The 23,046-nt window shown below is 46.7% G+C and overlaps 3 annotated features.

The window, feature by feature from the left end:
- Nucleotides 17,213-18,154: an enhancer, noted in NCBI's record as "OCT4-NANOG-H3K27ac hESC enhancer chr6:6811699-6812640 (GRCh37/hg19 assembly coordinates)". NCBI's record gives its function as "activates a minimal SCP1, AML or CMV promoter by ChIP-STARR-seq in naive H9 embryonic stem cells {active_cell/tissue: H9 hESC(naive)}" and the evidence as "EXISTENCE:reporter gene assay evidence [ECO:0000049][PMID:30033119]".
- Nucleotides 17,213-18,742: a biological region, named in NCBI's record as "P300/CBP strongly-dependent group 1 enhancer GRCh37_chr6:6811111-6812310".
- Nucleotides 17,543-18,742: an enhancer, noted in NCBI's record as "P300/CBP strongly-dependent group 1 enhancer chr6:6811111-6812310 (GRCh37/hg19 assembly coordinates)". NCBI's record gives its function as "activates an origin of replication core promoter dependent on BRD2, BRD4, P300/CBP, MED14 and CDK7 cofactors, with strong dependence on P300/CBP, by STARR-seq in HCT116 cells {active_cell/tissue: HCT116}" and the evidence as "EXISTENCE:reporter gene assay evidence [ECO:0000049][PMID:35650434]".

The following is a 23,046-nucleotide window of genomic DNA, read 5'->3' as shown; positions in this document are numbered from 1 at the left end:
GGCACGTCTTTTACTTATGACAGTCATTAAAATCAAATATCAAAATATGACCTTCAAATCACATGCTAAGCCAAGATTTGAAAAAATAACTAAAATTATTCAATCATATTACTCTCATAGAATATTAACATTACATATAAAGCTTTTTTTTTTTTTGAGATGGAGTCTCACTCTGTCGCTCAGGCTGGAGTGCAGTGGCGCAATCTCGGCTCACTGCAAGCTCCGCCTCCCGGGTTCATGCCATTCTCCCGCCTCAGCCTCCTGAGTAGCTGGGACTACAGGTGCCCACCACCACGCCTGGCTAATTTTGGTATTTTTAGTAGAGACGGGGTTTCACTGTGTTAGCCAGGATGGTCTCGATCTCCTGACGTCGTGATCCACCCGCCTTGGCCTCCCAAAGTGCTGGGATTACAGGCATGAGTCACTGTGCCCAGCCTCATATAAAGCTTTTTATATGGTTGATAAATAAAATATTTTAAATTATTAAAATATTTTCTTTAAATTTTTGTTCTTATATTTCCTAATGTTTCTAAAAATTATATAGAGGCAATCATATGAAATTTATAAACAAAGCAGTATTAATGCACTAGTACCACTTGAATTTTTTCCCCCTGACAAAAATGTTTGAAGGCCACTGCTCAATTTTATAAATATTGTTTTTTTTTTTTGTCATTGTCATTCTGCTAGTCAGAATACTTTAAATTTGCTAAGTGCTTATTTCTGCTACCTTTCTGGAATGAAGATTGTTGCTCTAATTAGATGTTTGCTTCTTGTTTTTTCTTTATATATATTACACATATATGTAGTTTGCCTTATTTTCTAAACTTCAAATTTCAGCTCCTTCTTGGGGTATAGCCTTGTTTCTAACTGATTAATTTCCCCCCACTTCAACTTTTCAGTCTTTTCCATTTTCTTTTTTTTTTTTTTTTTGAGACAGAGCATCACTTTGTCACCCAGGCTGGAGTTAAATGGCGCTATCTTGGCTCACTGAAACTTCTGCCTCCTGGGTTCAGGTGGTTCTCGTGCCTCAACCACCTGAGTAGCTGGGACTACAGGTGTGTGCTACAGCGCCCATCTAATTTTTGTATTTTTTTAAGTTGAAATGAGGTTTCACCACATTGTCCAGGTTGGTCTCGAACTCCTGACCTCAAGTGATCTGCCCGCCTTGGCCTCCCAAAGTGCTGGGATTACAGGCGTGAGACATGGTGCCTGGTCTTTTTTTTCTTCTTTCTGTCCAATTTGTGTGTTAGGTTCAGGGAGTACATATGCAGGTTGGTTACTGGGTAAATTGCATGTCACAGAGGTTTAGTGTACAGATTATTTTGTCACCCACATAATGAACATAGTACTAGATAGGTAGTTTTTTGATCCTGACCCTTCTCCCAGCCTCTACTCTCAAGCAGTCCCTCCCTCCCTTCCTCCCTCCCTCCCTTCCTTCCTTCCTTTCTTTCTATCTTTTTGTCTGTCTTTTTGGAGTCTCGCTCTGTTGTCCAGGCTGGAGTGCAGTGGCGTGATCTCGGCTCACTGCACCCTCCCCTTCCCAGGTTCAAGCGATTCTCCTGCCTCAGCCGCCCAAGTAGCTGGGACTATAGGTGCCAGCCACCACGCCTGGCTAATTTTTTGTATTTTTAGTGGAGACGGGGTTTCACCGTGTTAGCCAGGATGGTCTCCATCTCCTGGCCTCGTGATCCGCCCACCTTGGCCTCCCAAAGTGCTGGGATTACTGGCGTGACAGGGTCTGGCTCTATCACCCAGGCTGGAGTACAGTGGCTCAATCTCAGCTCACTGTATCCTTGACCTCCTAGGATCAGTTGATCCTCCCACCTCAGCCTCCGGAGTAGCTGGGATTACAGGCACGTGCCCCCATGCCTGGCTAATTTTTGTGTTTTTTGTAGAGACAGGGTTTCACCGTATTGCCCAGGCTGGTCTCAAACTCCCAAGCTCAAGCGATCCACCCGCCTCGGCTTCCCAAGGAACTGGGATTACAGGCATGAGCCACCACACCCGGCCTCCTTTTTCTTTCACAATATTCCTTTTAAACAATGCAAAACTTGTGTTTTGCATTCTACTTTAAGCATGCCGGGTCGTCTCCTGCCGGGTGGGGAGCCCCCTCTGTCTTCCCTTCTGTGCTCCCACTTTCTGCCTTACCCCGCTGGGTTGCTGGCTTCAGACCTCTCTCCTTCTCTCTTTTCCCTTTCTCTTCTCTCTCCTCTGTCCATTATTCCCACTCCCCTCCGGAACACAATCCAATCTCTCAGGAGTATCTGCGGTGGGAGGAGCATCACAGGGAAGTAGCTGGGACTCATTGATCCAATCTCTCAGGAGTATCTGTGGTGAGAGGAGCATCACGGAGAAGTAGCTGGGACTCACTGATTTCTGCTTCCCTGGTTGGGGCAGTGATGCCCAGCCGGGCGCATAAAACAAAACTGGGCCTCCCGGCTCCCAGCACCACTGGTCAATGGCAGCACTGTGGCCCTAAGCCCCACCCTCAGGCCTTGCTGGGTCCAGCCATCCTGAGCTCAGTGCTCTCACGCTTTTCCCGAGAGATCGTGGAGACCAGTAGGAAATAGCAGAGAAAAACTGAAGTTATTAGTTACGTATGGGAAAATTCGTAGCTGTCTTGTGGGAGGCAGATAATGAGGGACATTTGGATCTTCCAATGTGGGGTCTAAACTTTGTAAATCTCAGGCAAGGCATTGGCTTAGTGGATTAAAATGGAAACCTAAAGGCACCTTGTTACCACGCTGTTTGCTGTAGGGCAGAAAGCAGCGTGCGTCAGGCCAGCTCTGGGTCTCTGCCAAAGGGTTTCATTTCCTGAACCACTAAAACCATTTCCCTTTGAGGGCTGCCCTGTGCCCCAAGCCCCAGCACAGAGCTACAAACAGAGGCTCCAAGGCCAGTGCCCCTCTGGCCACACCTGCCAGTGGAGAATCTGTCCCCATTAGGGGCTTCCTGTGCCCTGCCACAGAGCATCCCCCATTCGCCTGTACAGTCCCTTTCCCCATCTACAGCCTTATGACACTGCCTATCAGCGTCCACAGTCACTGTGTGTGCCGGGGTGGCTGGCTGCAGTGAGAGGCCTGCAGGGGCCCACAGCCATCTGGAGTAGAGGCCAGGTCCTTGGACCTACTTGGAGGAGCCACATTTGGTGGTGTGTCCTTTTGGGATTGTCATCCCTCAGTCTCAGGAGCATGGACGGTCTGACTCACTGCCTGCAGCACACCACGTGGGTAATCTGAGTGCCCGCCGGGCGGGTAGCTGCAGCCCCTGAGCCAGGGCTGCTCTGTTTTTATTCAACTGTTAACACGTCTCAGCTCTTCTTCAATATCAAAATGTTTTCCCATGAACACCGAGTGTAGCATTTTCCCTGTCTTATCGGCCCTAGCAACCAGGAGCCTGGTTTCCAGGAAAGCAGCCACTCGATCCAACCTGGAGAGATCCATTCCCACTCCACTGTTAAGAGCTGGGGCATAAATGCCCAGCAACTGCCGTGGCATTTATGCCCCAGCTCTCAACAGCAGAGTGCGTTTTTTTTTTGTTTTTTTTTTGTTTGTTTGTTTGTTTTTTAGCGGTGGCCACATGATGTCATTCCTAACTGGCCAGCCTTCCTTCTCCCCCGACTCAATGCAGCCCTCATGTCCTCGCAGTCCAGATGCTGGTTTGCAGAATGCTGGGAACACTTTGGGCTCTTTTGTAGGGGGTCAATTTTCTTTGGGTCTCAAAATATCCCTAGTCCCCTAATCCCGTTCCTGGGTTGAGAATGAGTGGTTTGGGCTCCAGAAATGCACACCTGATTGCTGAGAAGCTCTGGCTGGGCTTGCTGGGTAGCCCCAAGAAAGACTTTTTTCTTCCAAGGCGTTCCCTCCTCCCTGCTGTGAAATGGAACACCTTTTGTCTGAATCCCACTTCCTTCGGTGCTGACATGCAACTGTTAGGTGTTTCCCATGCCTGGCAATCACCCTAAGCGCGAAGCTTGGGGGTGCTTTGGTGATCCATGAAAAGGCTGGCAGGCATGTCTTGTGATAGGAAGAGGTTCTGTTTATAACCATATATGTCTCCCCAAGAGAGCTGATAAATAATGTGCTCACTCTGGCAGGGTTGTCTTTCCATAGCTGCCCAGGGGCCCTTTGGCCCCCACTGGCTGCTTCTCCTATTTCAATTTCCATGTCCTCTCGGTTTTGTAACTCAAGGAGCGCCCCTGGCTTAGGAACAGCTGACAACTCCACAGCTCCCAGCAGTGGCACCTGGAGAAGGGGCGGATGGGCACTGACTTGTGGGCGTGCTCTGGGGCACCCTGTCCCCGGCTGTCATGAGTCATTTGCAAGGTGAGCCAGGATGTAAGCTGTGAGGGTGGAGAACGTTTGGTGCAGACCCAGGGCATCTGGCAGGGCCGTGTGGGTGAGTTGTGAGATGGGGAAGAGCATTGCTCCCAGGAGAATCCCACAGACAGCCCTGCCACCACATCCTGATTTTCCATCTCCATCCCTCCACAGAGATGGGGCCAGCCGCACATTTGGGGGCCATTCCCGGCTAGACTCCACTCACATTGCTGAATCAGAGAGCTCAAAGGACCTTCAAAAACCCATCAAACCCAAGCTTTTTATGTTGCAAATGAGGAAACTGAAGCCCAGAGAAAGAGTAATTGTCCCAAATCAGTGTAGGAACCTAACTCCTGTCAGAGCTGTCCCTCCACAGCAGGAGAACTCAGGGGCTGCCCCCACCCCGCGTGTCCTGAGCCTCCACACCTGCAACAGCGGGAGGCGAGCACAGGCTGGTACAGGTGCTGAGGGTGAGTGGGGCGATCAACTGGAGGCAACAGAAGTCATCAGTTTCATCATCATGGTGGGTCCCTGTCCTCTCTTGCTCTGCTGACCCCTCCTGCTGCACTTCCCTGGCCCCTTCCAAAAGCAGTGGCTTTTCCTTCTGGGTTGATGTAAATCCTTCGCTGCTTTAGCCCCAGGAGAGGGACCAGCTGATCCAAGCTAGGGTGGCTGTGAAGAACACAGTGGGGCTGCTCCTGCCTCCAGCTGCCCTGTCATGATGGAGCACCTGGGGTGCAGGGAGCAAAGGGCCGTCCCAGCACAGCCTGCCATCTCCAGGGTGGCTGGCGATGGCTGTGCACGACCATGGCCAAGAAGCTGTTAGGCTCTGATGATCCCGTCACTGAGCGTAGGAGTGGGAATTTCTGAGAAAGCCCCTAAAGGTGGCAGCATGGACAAAAGCTTCTCCCTAGCTTCAAGGGGCATCTTTCCTCAGAGCTGTGGAATGCCACGCATCTGTTTATCTCCCCAGAGTGCCTGCCTGCCGACTGTCTACCTCTGATTTCTCCGTGGGCTCAGCATGCCATTGGCATTTAATCCATTTGAAAAAATAGTAACGTCCAAGCCACCGACCTTCACATAAAGGCCTTGGAGACCCCTGCCAGTGTGTCTTCTATGTGGGGACTGATTGATCCCTGCCAGATAGCCCAGTTGGAAAGGGTAAAAAGAAACAGGACCCCAGTGCCAGGAGCAAGGGACCCGTGGGCCACCGAGCAGGTAGTGGAGTTTGCCCTGCACTCGGCCAGGACTCAGAGGTCACAATAACATGGAACTGGGCCAGGGACTTTGCCGGAGGTGATTAGATGTTTGGCATTTCTGAACCAAAGGCCATGACTTTTGCTCCCACATTTCTGATTCTGTGAACAGGCTGTGCCTCCCCCCAGATTGCCAGGGTTTCTGTCCTCTTCCTGCCAAGGAGTGTCAGGTGTGCTGGTGGATTGGACATTTCAAACCCAAGCATCAGGCTGAAGCTGGGGCCCTCTGTCCCCCTCTGTCTCTTGTCTGTCCCTCAAAGAATCTGTTCCACCATTGTTTGGCCAAGACTTCCCTGTCTGGTGGTTAAGAACTGAGGGACTGGGGTTTTCCAGCCAGTCTGCATCTGTGAGGTTTGTCTTCTTCCTTTTTCTAAAAACTGTGAGGCCTGGTCAGTGGAGTCTAGGCAAAATGCTCTTTTCAGCTAGCACTCTCTCTTTCTCTCTCTCTCTCTCTGCCGCCTTCTTCTTCTTCTTTCTCTCTCTCTGCCTCCTCCTCCTCCCCCTCCTCCTCCTTTTCTTCTTCTTCTTCCTTCTCTTTTTTCTTCCTCCTCTTTTCTTCTTCACAAGCTGTCTATAACTTACTTAATCTCCCCACTGAGCCGATTTTAAAAAAGAATATTTTGTAGAGATGGAGTCTTGCTGTGTGGAACAGGCTGATCTTAAACTCCTGGTCTCAAGGGATCTTCCTACCTCAGCCTCCCAAATTGCTGGGATTACAGGTGTGAGCTACTGTGCCTGGCTTGAACTGATTAAGTTCGGGTAGTTGAGATTTGGAGAGAATAAGGAAGTGGCCAGGGGTGGTGGCTGGCAGGTGGACAAGCCCAGGTGTGATTTCCAGGACTTGATGCTGACACCTGTGGAGGAAGGCTCACCATGAGACGAATGCTGCGAGGATGCTGGATGCACTTCTTCCCTTTTTATCTCTCCAGCGGCCCCGTGAGGAGGTAGCCATTGCTATCCCTGTTTTAGATGATGAAATTGAGGCTCAGAGAAGTTAAGTACCTTCCAAAATCGTCAGGTGGGTTTCTGAGCCATTGTTATAGCAGCAAAAGATATTTTCAGGCATCCTGGACATTGTGGATGACTGGATTGTTAGAGTGACCGTCCGTTCAGGTTGGTCCTCAGCCTTGGGCAAGCCTGGAGGGCTGGTCACCCCATTAGGTGCCCCTTCATGTCTTCCTCTTCTTTTCCCACTGTGAACCTATTGCTTTGATCTTCACAGCAATGCGCTGTTATTTGAGTGGTACCCTTGGGAAATGTAGACAGAGCTCTGGGAGCAGAGGGCAGAACCCAAATCCAGGAGTTGTGAGGATTACAGGAGCAAAATTCTTTGCACAGTGCTGGGAAGGCACGAATGCTCAGTACGTGGTGGTTCTTGTTAGTAGCACAATATGGTCTGGAGGGTGGAAGAAAAGAGGGAAACTGGGAGCAACTGCAGAATTAGGCATCAGGTGCCATGGAAGCAGAATGGCTCCATTTGTTGAGCTCCTGTTCAGGGCGGGCATTCTTTCACTTTCCTGGCTGGCATCCTCATGGCTGTGACTAGGTCTGGGAGGCAGGATGGAGGCCACAGTTTCCAGGTGAGGACAGCCAGGCACCTGCCCAAGCCAGGATGGGGTGGAGCAAGAATATGAATTCACCTTGGTCAGACTCCAAAGCGCTGATTTTAATATTGAAACCCAGCTGTCTTTTGGGGGAAAGGGGATGGGGAAAAGACACAGTCAGGAGGGACTCTGAAAGAACACAAGGCAGGGAGGCAGGAAGAAGCAGAGGGAGAAGATGGAGTCTCTGTGGGAACTGGGGAGTGTGAAGGGGTTTCCAGCCAGAGTTTTAAAGAATGGCCTCAGTGCACTGAGCATTCCTATGTGCAAGGCATATCTCTGTGGTTTCACACATATCAACAGTTTCAAGCCTCCCCCCAAATCCTATGAGGTTGGTAGTATTGTCATCATCACCACACCATCATCATCACCATCATCACCACCATCATCACCATCACCATCATCATCACCACACCATCATCATCACCACACCATCATCATCACCATCATCACCACCATCACCATCATCACCATCACCATCATCACCATCATCGTCACCACCACCATCATCACCACCATCATCACCATCACCACCACCACAACTATCGTCATCATCACCACCACCATCACCACCATCATCATCACCACCATCATCACCACCATCATCATCACCATCATCACCACAAATATCAACACCACACCATCATCATCATCATCACCACTATCATTATCACCATCATCTCCATCTTACAAATGAGGAAAGTGAGGCACAGAGGGGTAAAGAAACTTGTCCAAGATCACACAGCTACTAAGTGATGCAGCTGGATTCAAATTTGTCTTACGGTTAAGTAAGGATGAAAGGACCTTCTCCTTCTCCTTCTCCCTCTTCCCCCTCCTCCCCCGTCATCATGTCCTCTTCCTCCTCCTCCTCCTTTTAAAAAGATAGTCTTTTCTTTAGCTGCAAGGCCAGGTTAGTGGAGTCTAGGCAAAGTCTTATTTTTTAGCCAGCTCCTTTCTCTTTCTTTTCTTTTCTCTAATTAGAGCTGGGAAAAGGTGAACCTTTTAGCCCCTCTGCCACATTGCCTTTTTACTGACTCGAGCTAATCAGGGAGTAGGGCTGCTAGTGGTGGTGGAGAGGGGATTTGGTGACTGGCAAGTGGAGAGAAAATTCCAGATGTGTAGGGGTGTGTGTGTGGGTGGGTGGGTGTGTTGGGGGGTGCTCAGACAGAAGTTGCTCTAGGAAAGTAAACACTTGGATCCTGGAGCTTGAAACTCACCCCATCCCACACCTTTTTATTAATTCTCTAAACCTGTATTGTAACCTTCATGGTTGATCTCCTTTCAGGCATGGGGAAAGTGCCAAGCCCTGAGATCACCTGTTGGCTTTGTCCCAACTCGCTGCTCAGGAAGCAGCTTTTGTGCATCTCTTGCTCCTGTGTCTGATGGGAAACTGGGGCGGGAGTAGCAGATCAGGAGAGAACGTGTGCTGGGTGTGGGTTCCCCGGCTGTGGGCGGGCTTTACCTGCTCCAGCCCTCCTGACCAAGGGGAGCCCATGAGTCACCGGTTCTGGCCTGCCTCACCTGTCCAGCCCTCTCCCCTGCATTGCCCCTGCCACCACCACCTCCTCACCCCATGCATTGTTCATCTGTTTCCGTATCTGTCCCCTTTAACTGAGTCACCACTGGGCTTGTCCTGGGACCAGCCCTGCTGTGAACCACACAATCATGAATGGCCCGCACATCAATAGGTTGAAACGGTTAAACAATAAAAGTCTGGCACCAGCCAAGCTGGATGGTTCAACTTGTAAAGAAACAGAATCAACTGCTGCATAGCAGGGAGTCTTGTTTCAGGTGGATTTCACGCTGGAAGGTTCTCTTTCCGCCAACAAATTAGTGAACTAGATATATACCAGAGCTACAGAGAGAAGCTTTCTCTCTAAAGAGAAAGCATGTCACAGATGAGCTGGTGGAAGAGCGTGAAACGCCTCGAACTACAGCATTGTACAAGTGTACATGTGAACTATGGTTCATCATGGTTACAATAACAACAATACAGAAATCAATCTTTATAGCCCACAGTAAGGTCTCAATGAAGAGTTATTAGATACATTAATAAAAAGTCTGTTTTATGTTTGAAATCTGAGCAATTACAGACCAAGAAACTGAGAATTCTGTGTAACAAAAATATCAATGCTGCTGCAAAACTGATTATTCCAATCTAGATTGGCTTCAAAGGTGGAGCAGTTTGAGGAACAGAAATAGATCATGAAGCCAGGATGATGAATGAAAAGAACCAGCAATGGAGATGCATCATTTAGCAGCAGTTGCCTAAAGGCAGGATTGCTGTGTATTATTGTACAGGTTGTATATGGCACAGCTCCTGAAGGTGCACCTCATAGAGACTGCAATATGCATGATGACCCTGGAGTTTTTCAAAGTGATGGCTCTGGTTTATCCCAATCGTTTAGTGAGGGATGTGTGAAAAGTTAACATCAGAGCCAAACAGTGCATATTATTCGCAGTTTTTCTATATATCTATCTATGCTTACCTTAACTGTTTAGCAAATTGCATACGTAATTCATTCACATGGATTCAGCCTTTTTATGAGAATTATAGATTCACAGGAAATTGCAGAACAATGTACAAGGAAGTCCTGTGTATCCTTCATCTTCATTCAGTTTTCCCCAGGTAACATCTTATAGAAGTAGATACAATATTAAAACCCGGAAATTGACATTGGTATACTCTACAGAGTTTCCTTGGATTTCACCGGCTTTGCATGCACTCATTTGTGTGTGTGTGTGTGTGTGGGCAGGGGGGCAGTTCTGTGCAGCCTTATCACACTGAACTGGTGGTAGAGTCTTGTAACCATCACCATAATCAAGATACAGAACTGTTCCATCATTGCAAAAATCTCCCACCTCCTTACTCCCTCCTCCATATCTAACCCCTGATAACGACTAATTTGTTCTCCAGCTCTATAATTTCGCTATTTTGAGAATGCTAGATAGATAGGAATTCAATCTTTTTCTTTTGTCAATCACTTTTTTTTTTGAGACAGAGTTCCGCCCTTGTTGCCCAGGCTGGAGTGCAATGGCTTGATCTCGGCTCACCGTAACCTCTGCCTCCCAGGTTTAAGCGATTCTCCTGCCTCAGCCCCCCGAGTAGCTGGGATTATAGGCATGTTCCACCAAGCCCGGCTAATTTTGTATTTTTAGTAGAGACGGGGTTTCTCCATGTTGGTCAGGCTGGTCTCGAACTCCCAACCTCAGGTAATCCACTGGCCTTGGCCTCCCAAAGTGCTGGGATTACAGGTGTGAGCCACCATGCCTGGCCCTTTTCAATCACTTTTTAACTAGTTATTTCACTACAGAGTTCTGACTTAAGGATTTCTATGCAAACATAAGAAGTAGATGTGTTTGAACTACAGAGACCCAACTGAGAACAAAGTGGACAATCTTGTGCCTAGAGAGGACAGACCAGGAGACAGGAGAATACTTTGATTTATTAAGCACTTAACTGGGTGCCAGGCACTGTTCTGAGGCTTCATGGAAGTTGCCGACAGAATGGTGCCCTGAGAGGCTGCCTCCTCTTGGGAGATTCTTCCCCCACCCCCACCAACACACTCTCTCTATGTCCTGTGCAGATTCCCACTGGGTCACCATCCCCCCGACAGCAGGAGTCTCTGGCTTCTCAGAGAGCTTGGTGTGAAGCACAGGGCCTCTGGCCACTGAGTTGTTCAGCTTTGGTTTTCCCTCCCCGTGGGTGCAGGGTAAACTCTCGCTGTTGGGGGCTTCTCCCCATTCCTTTGTTCTGCCCTTGGATTGCCCTTGTTGTCCCCTCCCAGCTGCTAGGACCAAATGCCACCTGGGAGCTGGATACAGGCAGACTTTACCTCCTGTAGCAACCATGGCGCTTCAGCTTCTTGCCGCTCATGATTTGGAGGGAAACACACGCGACCATTATCGGCAACCTCAGCATTTTCAGGAATTAAAGATTAATGGAGAGAAACTCATTGTCCTAAATCCCCAGCTGGGTATGAGGTTTAGGAAATTCCCTTCTTGAGGTTATTAAGCCTTGGTGGCCTGGTGAGACTAGATCTCCAGTGACAAGATATAATTGGCCTATTATCTGGGGACTTTGGGGTGAGTTGCCACAAACTGACAGTGAGGGGCTTTAAACGCAGGAATGAATGATTCAGGCATTGAAGAACAGTTACGTCTGCAGATGTTTGCAAACAGAAGTGAATATGATGGGTCTGATAAGTTTAATGCAGTGTGGCTTGAAGTAAAATCATCAACCATGGCCGGGTGAAGTGACTCACACCTCTAATCTCAGCACTTTGGGAGGCCAAGGTGGGCGGATCACAAGGTCAGGAGTTCGAGACCAGTCTGGCCAATATGGGGAAACCCCATCTCTACTAACAAACAAACAAACAAACAAACAAACCAAAAATTAGCTGGGCGTGGTGGTGGGCACCTGTAGTCCCAGCTACTTGGAAGGCTGAGGCACGAGAATCGCTTGAACCCAGGAGGCAGAGGTTGCAGTGAGCTGACATTGCACCACTGCACTCCAGCCTGGGCGACAGAGCTAGACTCATCTCAAAAAAAAAAAAAAAAAAAAAGAAAGAAAGAAAAGAAAAGAAAAGAAAAACCATCAACCACATTCTTTTTGCACTTTGATTTTGTGAACTCTCTACATCTATTTGTCAATGATCCTATGGCCTGATGCAGAGAAGATACAATCTTGGTGTTTCAACTTGCTTGAACTCTAATGAATAAAGCTCAGCTGTCTCATAGGCAGAATCCTCCAGTATTATATCCCAATAGTATACCAACCATTTCTGAAGTTGGACCACTTATCACTGTTTCATTAGCATTGTGGCTAAGTACTTCATGTTGTGGAACATATACACTTTATTAAGGCAAATAATGATTGATTGTGTTGTGAGAATTTTGTTAGAAACTTGCAGGCTCCTTGAAAATTGCCTACAGGAGATAAGACATCTGCATTTAACTTTTCTTTCTAGGTTAAATCCTAAGGCCATAAAGGCAGAAATAAAAAAGAATGATATTTGAGTTCATTAAAGTGCACACAGGGAGAGAAACAAGTCATTGTGTCGTTGTCACTGCGCTCATTAAAAACTATGTGATTGAGGCCGGGTGCGGTGGCGCACGCCTGTAATCCCAGCACTTTGGGAGGCCGAGGTGGGCGGATCATGAGGTCAGGAGATTGAGACCATCCTGGCTAACACGGTGAAAGCCCATCTCTACTGAAGAAAAAAAAAAAAAAATTAGCCAGGTCTGGTGGCGGGCACCTGTAGTCCCAGCTACTCAGGAGGCTGAGGCAGGAGAATGGTGTGAACGCAGGAGGCGGAGCTTGCAGTAAGCCGAGATCGCGCCACCGCACTCCAGTCTGGGTGACGGAGCGAGACTCTGTCTCAAAAAATAAATAAAAAGTAAAAATAAAACTATGTGATTGAACTGAAATTCACCCAAAATGTAGGCATCTTGGTGAATTTAGAAATGCATCAATGAGTGACTCATTAGGTCTTTGTTCTTCATCCTTTTGTCTTGGAAACCCCCTCTTTCTTGAGCCACTTCTCATTATGGTTAAGGCAGCTTAAAGTTCTCATGAGTCCTTCAAGGGCAAAAATAGATTCCCTTCATAGTGGATTCCAAACTGAAGCAGATAACATTAAAGCAAGGCCCACAGTGCATTGACCCTAAATAGAGCATTGGGAAGTCTTTTGTTTACAAATAAGAGCATGCGAGGCACTGGTAGTGCCCCCTTCTCTTTATAAGAGGTCCTTAGATTTATTGTGGGGACTTGCCATCACCCTTTTCTCTTTGTAGCAACTATCCTTCCCATGACAGGTATATTAAGGACCCACACTCTCTCACCTACAACCCCCAAAATGCAGAGAGCTATGAAAACGAACAGTGTTTTGTATACTTGACACCACTGTGGCAGCATCATCTGACTGGAACTGGCTTGAAACAATGTGTAAGTTTTATTTATCTCACTTGCTGTGAATGTCCATGTTTCATTGCAAAAATGTTAATATGTGAATATGAGACAGTGCCCCCATGCATGGAATTACACAATATATGGTATATGTACCACATTATCTTTGGAACAATCTGAAAAATTCTGAAATCTGTAGTACACCTGCCCCAAGGGTTTTGGATACGGGATTGTGGACCTGAAGCATACCTTTTTTTATGCATATACTACATAAACATCAGACACCCTTATTGATAGGGAATGGGATCCAACCAGATGACAACTTGACAGGCGTGCTTAGCCCTCTATTCCTAAGTCTAAGGTGACATGAACCTACCAGAGACCCCAGAGTCTGAAACTTCCTCTGCCTGCCCCATGTCCAAGCACCTGGAGTGCACCCTTTTATGCTAGCCAGGCTCAGAGGCAACCACAGCACTGTGGGCCCTGCGTTTCCCAGGATCCCTTCCTGAATATTCCACACGGGAGAGGGAGAGTTTGTGGAGAGGGCTTGGCTCACTGCTGCCAAGTCTTCCAGTGGGATGTGTAAGGCCTTCTGGTAAATTCGCTGAGTCATTTTCTCATTAATTTCTCAATCTAGTCATTCACTCGATTAACACTTATGGACTTATGGTGTGCTTTTGTTACCTAGGAATGTTTTATTGAGATCTTGGTATAAAGTGTGTGTGTGTGTACATGTGCATACGTGTGTGTGAGTAAGAAACTTGTATGCAATCAGTATTTTCCCAGACCATATTTCAAAGAATCCACTAGATGTTAACCAGTTTTAAAGGAATAATATTTCTGTGATCAAATAAGTCTAGAAAATGGTGAATTAGGCCAGGAGCAGTTGCTCATGCCTTTTAATCCCAGCACTTTGGGAGGCTGGGGAAGGAAGATTACTTGAGCCCAGGAGTCCAAGACCAGCCTGGAAAACATATTAGTAGCAAGACGATGTCTCTACAAAAAAAATGAAAGAATTAGCTGGGTGTGGTGATGCATGCCTGTAGTCCTAGCTACTCGGGAGGCTGAGGTGGGAGGATTGTTTGAGCTCAGGAATTAGAGGCTGCAGTGAGGTAGAGTGATGCCACTACACTCTAGCCTGAGTGACAAGATGAGACCCTATCTCTAAAAGAAAATGATGAATTAAACAATTCAACCGGTTTCTTCACTGCAGCACTTTTCTGAGTCCTTAATAATGCATGGCAGACATGCAAAGGTAGTGTTGGCATTGACCAAGGAATGCTGGCCTCTGGGCCTCTGAGTCCCCCCCAGCTCAGATGATTTTTCTGTTCCACAGAGGCTGTAAGAGCTAAGCAGTGAATTGCGTGGAAGGTGGCAGAGCTGACCGACTGTACACAGCAATGGGAAACATTTCTATCCTGCTCCGTCTCTGCGTTTGCAGGGGCTGCTGACGATCGTTGCCTCCTCTAACTACTCCGAAAAAATACAAAAATGCAGGTGGTCACTTGGGGCTGCGTCAGCAAAGAGAATGCTCTTCTGGGGTCATCTAACCTTGAAAATAATAGCCCCTGGAGAGCAATTTCCAGATGAATCGCTCTGAATTTCTTTTATTCCCTAGACAGCTTGCCTTCTACAACGTGGTACTATGAACAGCAAAGAACATGACTGCCCTCTGACCTGTTGGCATGTTGAGAGGCAAGATTTCTCATGATCCAGGCTCTATGGAGGATGGGAGGAATCCCATTTTCATGCTTAGTTTTACAGCTGAGCTGAGGTCTCTCCCGGGAAAACCAACAAACATGGTCTATTTTGTTATTTTAAAACAGTTTTCCACAGTTAGAGTGCTGGTTTTATCTGTGGAGGCTCAACACAACTTTATGACTCTTACACTGGACAACATTTTGCTACAGATAAGATATAGTTTTGAGATAGGATGATGGCAGGTAGGACCCTTTAGTATTTGTTTTGTTAAATAATGACTTGAGCTCAATTTGTGAATTGAACTTAGGTCCTTTCTTTTCTTCTTCTTTTTTTTTTAAACCATGTTTGTGGTTGCAGCTATCGTTGTTATTTTCATGATCATTTCTGCCACTGACTTCCTCTCTGACAGGAGTTATATCAATTTGTTTCTATTTTACTTTGTTGTACCTTGGTCTCTCCAGAGGAAAATGGGAACTTGAGAGTATTTATGAAGAAAATGCCTGTCAAATTGGGAATACTCTCGGAGTGGAAAATGGAGGCATTATGAAATAACTTTATTTTCCTCTGTGATCAACGTGTAGTGAACGCTCAATGAGATATGACTAGAATTTAAGAATGAAGACTCCACTAGAGCAAGGGTCTCTCCTATCTTCTTATCTATCGTATCTCTGGCACTGGGACAGGAACTGATAGTGAAGGTGCTCAGTGTTTGTTGAATGCATAAATGACCAATGGAAAGAAGGAAGAAAAAAGAAGGAAGGAAGGAAGGAATGAAGGAAGAAAGGAAGGACCAGAGAGAGGAACAAGACCCTCTGCTGAGCCAGCAGGTAACTGAATGTCACCTTTCTTCTTTTCTTGTCATGGAAGCCAGGAGATGTGTAGAACATTTTTCTTCTCAATTCTCTCCAAATACATATATTTTTTTAATATTACAAATTTTCTTAGATATTTCTTTCCTCCCCTCTTACGTAGGTGAGTGAATCATCTCACCGATCAGGGCTTTTGGAGCTGATGAGTACAACAAGCAATGTTTCACTACCTTCTAAAAGCATGCACATTTCTCTTTTTAAAATTCTTTATATCTTAGTAAATCAGTGTCCTTTAGTAAGAGGGTAAGCCCACATTTGGCCTGTGTGCTAGCTAGTGAGGTCTGCATGCTACTAATATTTAAATTGTTTCATCCTTTCAAAATAGTCTACGCAAACCCAAGTGACCCTAAGGCTAAGGCATTTTTCTTCTCTCATTATAGAGGAGTTCCTTTTACTCCTGAACCTTCTCCCACCTCCCACTGTTCCTTCCCCAAAGGGGCGGTGGTAGGTAGGGCCAAGCGAGTGTGCTCAGAAGAAAGAACACTCGGGGCCGGGCGCAGTGGCTCACGCCTGTGATCCCAGCACTTTGGGAAGCCGAGGCAGGCAGATCACCTGAGGTCAGGAGTTCAAGACCAGCCTGACCAACATGGTGAAACCCCGTCTCTACTAAAAATACAAAAATTAGCTGGGCGTGGCCAGGTGCAGTGGCTCACACCTGTAATCCCAGCACTTTGGGAGGCCGAGGCGGGTGGATCACTAGGTCAGATCAAGACCATCCTGGCCAACATGGTGAAACCCCCTCTCTACTAAAAATACAAAACAAATTAGCTGGGCGTGGTGGCGCATGCCTGTAGTCTCAGCTACTCGGGAGGCTGAGGCAAGAGAATGGCGGAGCTTGCAGTGGGCCGAGATCGTGCCACTGCACTCCAGCCTGGGTGACAGAGCGAGACTCTGTCTCAAAACATAAATAAATAAATAAATAAATAAATAAATAAATAAATAAATAAAATAAAAAATAATAATTAAAAAAAATTTCAAATCCACTGGACTATGAGTCAGGAGTCTGGGTTCTGGACTTGACTGAACTAACTGAGGTTTGCACAAATTCTGTGAATTTTACTTTCTGCATCTGTCACACTGAGGAGGTGGACTACACATTTATCTTCAACATCGAGTTCTTTCATGTTTGCTGAGCACTGTTTTAAATACTTACTGTATAATAATTGTATGCAGTAGGTACAATTGCAACTCCCATTTTATGGAATGAGAAACAGGCTCAGAGAAGCTCAACCCTCATTTAGACCTGGATTGAAGTTGGTCGGCCTGGCGTCAAAGCCCATATGTGTAATGCCCTTTGATGTTTCCCTTGACTTATTGATTTCTTAGAGCAGGTGAACCCACAGGCTTGGGATCCACCTCTCCCTCAGAGCTCTGCCTTTAAGATGCAAAAACAGCACAGTGGTTCAGGTCTATAGTCCCAGCTACCTGGGAGGCTGAGGCAGGAAGATTGCTTGACCAAGAGTTTGAGACCAGCCTGGGAAGTGTATTGAGACTCTACCTCTAAGAATAATTTTTCTAAAATAAGAGAAAGAAAAAAGAGAAAAGATGCAAAAACAATTAAAACCTTTCTCAAGTAATTTTGAGCCTTGTTTTCTGGATTTACTTGATTAAGCCAGTGCCGGAAGCCTCATTATGGGATGGATATTCTTGCTTGTCATCTGGTCTAGCTGTCGAGTTTATGTCAATTAGCTAGAAAAGTCCTCAAACACATATTGACATAGAAAAGCACCACTCTGCCTTTTGTATGTTGTGTTTTTTTCTTTGACTTCTGAGACGAATAAATACAAATGAGCGTGTTAGAGAAACACTAGCAAAGACTTAGCATTGATTTTATAAACTACCAACTCACAAACAGTTCAGCTGTGGTCCTGGCTGCTGCTGATAAAGAGACAATCAGTTGGACAAATAAAATGTGGACATTTGAAAAAACAAACATGCCAGACAACCATTTAGTGATGAAGTATTGTGAAGGAAGAAGCCGTTTCCTTTGAAGCCGAGTGCCCAATTTTGCTTTCCGGGGTGCACGTGAAGCTTCTGTTAATGACAGCTTTGTGTGTGCATCTGAGGGTGGATTTCTGCCTCAAAAAGAGAAATGACGAAGGTGATGAGGGCGTGCCTTGGACAACAACTGAACTATTGTCCTGGCCACCCCCTACCTCCTTCCTTCGTTACTGGATCCCTGGGCTTACCCAGTCACTGTGATAAGGCAGCAAGCACAGAGATTTTCCCTGGAGGCTGGAAGTATTGCCTCTTTCCCCTCCTCCTCCTCCTCCTCCTCTTTCGCAATTGCAGCAACTGCTCCCACTGAGACCCCATCCCATCCTGTGCCACCTGGGATTCTCCTATTTCAAAAGAAACCCTTGCTGGAACAAAGCCTTGAGAGGAAATGAGTACAGAGAGAGCGAGTCATTTCCAGGGAGGAGCCCTGTAAGAACAGACGTCAGACTATGACCTCACCTGTCCCTCTACCTGCAAAGGACCTATTGACATCAATTGCATCCTAGACCTTGGCCCGGCTTCCAAATCACCAGGAGCCTCTTCCTTGTTTTCCTAATAGCTCCAGATAACTTTTGTAGGGAGTACTTTTGCTTTCTGTTTTCAAACCACCGTCATTTCCTTATACTCTCTACTTTTCTTTAGCAGGAAAAGACCCGAGATCACAATGACGTGATTTATATTGATCCCTAGTTAGTCATCAGGAATGTCTGAGTGAAGAATGGAAAACAAAGGGATGCTTGAGTTTACAATGCCCGAGTGTCCCTCGTGGAGGGAGTGCTGCCTCTGGATCCAGGATCAGCAGCTGTGGAAACATCTCCCTTTTGCAGAGGGTGGGTGCTGCCCGAAGTGAGACCCCAAATTTCATTCAGAGGATTTCTTTTCATTTGCTCCCTTTGGGCTGTGATTGTGTCAGGCTTCCAGCATTTTCTGCACCCAGGATCAAGTCGAGTTGGAGGAGCTTATTCTGACTTAGTCTATGTGAACACTTTGGCTTTCCCAGGTACAAATCAGCTCACAGCCTGCAGAACAGAAACTGACAGCGCGTCAGAGACCTGCATGACAGTCCTGGCTTCCACTCTGGCCTCTCAGTTTCCTCATATGTTCAGTGAGTTCATCATCCTTCTCACACAATAAAGATGAAGACCAACACCACCTGACATTCGTTGAGTATTTACTAGGGGCCAGGTGTTCTACTAAGTGTTTCCAATTCATATTCTCATTGAACCTCCACAACTACTCGATGAAGAAGGCATAATCTCTGTCCCCATTTTATAGATGAAGAAAGTGAAGTCTAGACATAACTTACCTGCCCAATGTCACACAGCTGGGAGTTTGCCAAATTAAGATCCAAATCATGATTTTTTTTAAATTCGTTGCAATAATCTCACTATACTATCTCTTGGAATCAGTAAAGCTCTATTTATGTATCTAAAATTTTTGGAGGAAGATATACTTTTCACTTCCCAGAAGCCTTGAGATCCGCTGCCCACCCCCCCGACCTGCCCCCACCCCTGGCACTTCTGGTGCTGGTGGGAGAGAGAGGTGGTAGGCAAGAACCCTGTGCTAGGAGCAGGCAGCCTGGCCCCAGGTCCCCTCCTTATCAGGAATCTCTGCACACCTCAGCCTGGAAAGAGATGACCTGGTTGGTGATCTACCGTTAAGACCCTGAGATCAACCAAGAGAGGTGCACCTGCCCAAGCAGGACCCTGCCCTTCCTTCCCTATGAGGCCCCTCCCATCCTCCAGTCCTTGTACCTGCCACTTCTTCTGCCACAGGGCTCTCCCTGCTCTCTGACCACCTTAAACCTCTCCTGACCTCACCTAGGACCACGTGTGGATGGTCTATTTTCTAGTCCCTACCATCAGCACGGGGAGACTCAGGGTCCTCTTATGGTGCTTCCTTGCCAACATGTGTTGTGTGTGTTTGTGTGGGATGTAATTTATGCACCGCACAATTGGTCAATTTAAAGTCCAGGCTGGGTGCGGTGGCTCATGCCTGTAATCCCAGCACTTTGGGAGGCTGATGTGGGTGGATCACTTGAGGTCAGGGGTTCAAGACCAGCCTAGCCAACCAACATGGTGAAACCCTGTCTCTAATAAAAATAAAAAACTTAGCCAGGCATGGTGGTAGTCACCTGTAATTCTAGCTACTCAGGAGGCTGAGGCAGGAGAATCACTTGAACTTGGGAAACGGAAGTTGCAGTGAGCCCAGATGGCACCACTGCACTCCAGCCTGGGCAACAGAGTGAGACTCAGTCTCAATAAATATTTAAATAAATAAATAAAGTCTATAAGCCAATGATTTCTAATGCATTCACAGATATGCGCAACCATCACCACAGTCAGCTGTAGAATATCAGAAGCCCTTTTAGCTACCCCTCTCCTACTGCCTCGCCCCTCCCCCCACCAGCCATAAGCAACCACTAATCTACTTTGTCTCTCTCTGAGTGTGTGTTTTAATTTACCAAGCAGATGAAGGAGGAGTTAAATGAAAACTTCTTCTCTTGCAGTGAAAATTATGATCATTTCTATGTGCTCATGAACTTCCAAAAGCATAAAAATCTTTCCCCAAAGAGCTGACACAACGAGATGGGGCAGGCGCCCATTTGTGAACATTGTGAGGTAAGTGGTCGCTGTTCATTAGAGAAAACTAAAGCTCCTACTTTCTTCCCCCTTCACTGTGCCTGGAGGACTCCAAGAGACACCTCTTTCCCCAAACTACCTACCCCATTAGTAAAGTGAATGACTGTTGAAATAGCCAATTATAATACAGACACAGGGACCTTCAGACAGAGGTGGAGGAGGTCCAAATCCTGCAATCGCAATTTGTGCTTTTTAAATTGTGCAATCACAAAGCTGGAAGGACTTTAGAGTTCACTCGGCTCCTGTTTAGTATCCATTTTACAGATCTGCGATCTAAGGTTCCAGAGAGGTTATGACAGGACCAGCAACCAGGTGTCCATAAATCCTGAGCTATTCTGCCCCACTTCCCATCATTCAGCAGGCAGAACAAAACACATTTAGTTAAAGTAAAGCAGGTCAAACGGGGCTGGAAGAGTTTCAAGGGAATCTGTAGAAGATGCAACCTGCACATGAAAGAAAGACACTGGACTCTAGTGATTAGAAAATATCTTGCAAGCTATGGTGGAGCTCACCTGTAGTCTCAGCTACTTGGGAAGCTGAGGCAGGAGGATGGTTTGAGCCCGGGAGTCCAAGGCTGCAGTGAGCCATGATCACGCCACTGCACTCCAGTCTGGGTGTCAGAGTAAGACCCTGTCTCTTAAAAAAGAAAAACAAACACACACACACAACAGAAAGAAAGAAAAAAAAGTTTCAGAGTCCCTCCCCAGGAAGCACTTACCAGTTAGTTACAAAGAAAAAGTGACCATGGACTTTATGGTGGACTTTGTCTAGCTGGTCACCTGGCCAGGTGGGACACGGAGGCTTATTTGTGCCCCAGTGGTGGCAGTTGTCAGCACTTTGACTTTCACAATCTATTTTAAAACATTAAAAGGAGAAAACAGCCTGGGTTCGGCCCTCATGAGAAATGAAGCAGAGTGTTTGTTGAGTGACTATTGCACCCTCAGCACAATCCCCGTGGAAAGAGCAGGATGGCGATCAAAGAAAATGTGGTGTGATGCCTGCTCTGTGCAGTTTACAGTGAAGCTGGAGAAAGACGCAGCACATTGGAACGATTAATTACATAATTAAGTTTTAGGGATTCCATTACTAGCTTGAAATAGTAAAATTACGTGTCCAAAAGGGAGCTAAGTGGCTTGAAGTTGCATAGGGGATGGGTTGGACTTGGAGTAACTTTGAAGGGCTGCAAAGATAAAGGGTGGCAGGAGGGACCCTGAGAATGGGAAGGTTGCACCCAGGGGCTGAGCAGGAGGAGAAGAACCCCCTGCAAGGTCTGGACAAGGGCAATATATTAGCTTTAAATAGAACTGCAGTGCCTGAAGAGTTCACAAAGATTACAAACTCAAAAGATCCGTGAGTCTCCTTTGCCTAAGCGAAGAGCTCATAGCTTCCAGTGAGAATTCCATGTCCTTTCTGAAGTGTTTAATTCTCCTGGGTTTGGGCAGGAAACATAGCCGTGATCTTGCCATGTTTCCACAAATAAGGGGGAGCCTTGTGTTGGGGCAAATTCTCTCTTTCCATTCTGAGATACATCCAAAGTCACTGTAAAGGGAATCGGCCCACCATTCCCTCAAGAACTGTGGCTTCCAGAGAGGCTCAGGGATTTTAAGGAGGAATGGATTTATTTCTCCCCAATTTGCTCAATGTAGTGTTTACCAGCTCTCTGCACCCAGGGGCAGAACGCCTAGGAGCTGATGGAATTCAGTGGAGGGGTTTCTTCCTAGAGCTGGAGGGAGAACAAGTAGGCAAATCACCTTTGTTGGGACACTTGTCTCTTCCTACGTATGAAACGATAAATGACTTACATGTTAGAGAAAAGCTTTCCTTTAAAAACAAAAACCAATTTTTCTTAGCAAGAATGTCTAGTCTGTGTCAGGGCTGTGGAAAAGTTCCATTTGATAACAGAAACTTGGAAGCCACTCTTTTGAGTACAGGCCTGTGAGCTCTGAAACAAAAGCACATCCCTTGGCTTTAATCTTGAAGGCTTTTCAACATCCTTGCTGCGAATGTTTCAACCAACACAGGCACGCCCTTCCTGAGGATCTCAGGGCTGTCGGAATTTGAGAAGATCTTTGATATTTTAATAAAACTGGCTTAGATTTGTCCCCTTTAAAAACAAATGAAAATGAGCTACAATCCCAGAACGGGACCTATGTAGTGCATGTATAGTCATGGCAGGAGGGGCTGGGTTATGGTGCATAAGCAAACATCCCCCGCCCCTGTTTACTTCTCTTTCTCATCATATGTCCATTATGCCTGGGGCAATGCCCTTCTTCACATCAGCCTCATTTCAGGAACCAGTGGCCGAGCAGGCACCATCCTTAGTTCGAATGGTCCCCAGGATAGAGGAAGATATGCTGGGTGAGTCATCGCCGCTTTCTGGAGCTTCCGCCTAGGCGCAACACTCCCGTGTGCATTGCCTTGGCCACTTCTAACTTCAAGACAGCAGAAAAGGCAATTCCACTGTGTGCCTGGGAGGAGAACTGAAAAGCTGGTGACTTCCAAACTGCTTGGCCTGTGAAGGGTCAGGGTGAAATGGTGGTGCAGTCTGGTCTAATAGCCTAGGAGACCAGGGATTTTCTCTCATTAGCCCTTGCCCTTAGGGAAATCATATAACCTCAAAGAGATTTCATTTCTTTACTCTTTAAGTAGGGAGTTGGTAGGAAGGGGTGGTGAATGGAAAGGAATAATTACATCTGTCCAACCTGCCTTGTAGGAATGTTGCATGGATCAAAATAAGGCAATGCCAGTGAAA

The sequence above is a fragment of the Homo sapiens genome, chromosome 6, assembly GCF_000001405.40.
Source record: "Homo sapiens chromosome 6, GRCh38.p14 Primary Assembly".
In the NCBI taxonomy this organism is placed as follows: Eukaryota; Metazoa; Chordata; class Mammalia; order Primates; family Hominidae; genus Homo; species Homo sapiens.
This window is presented reverse-complemented; position numbering and strand designations above follow the sequence as displayed.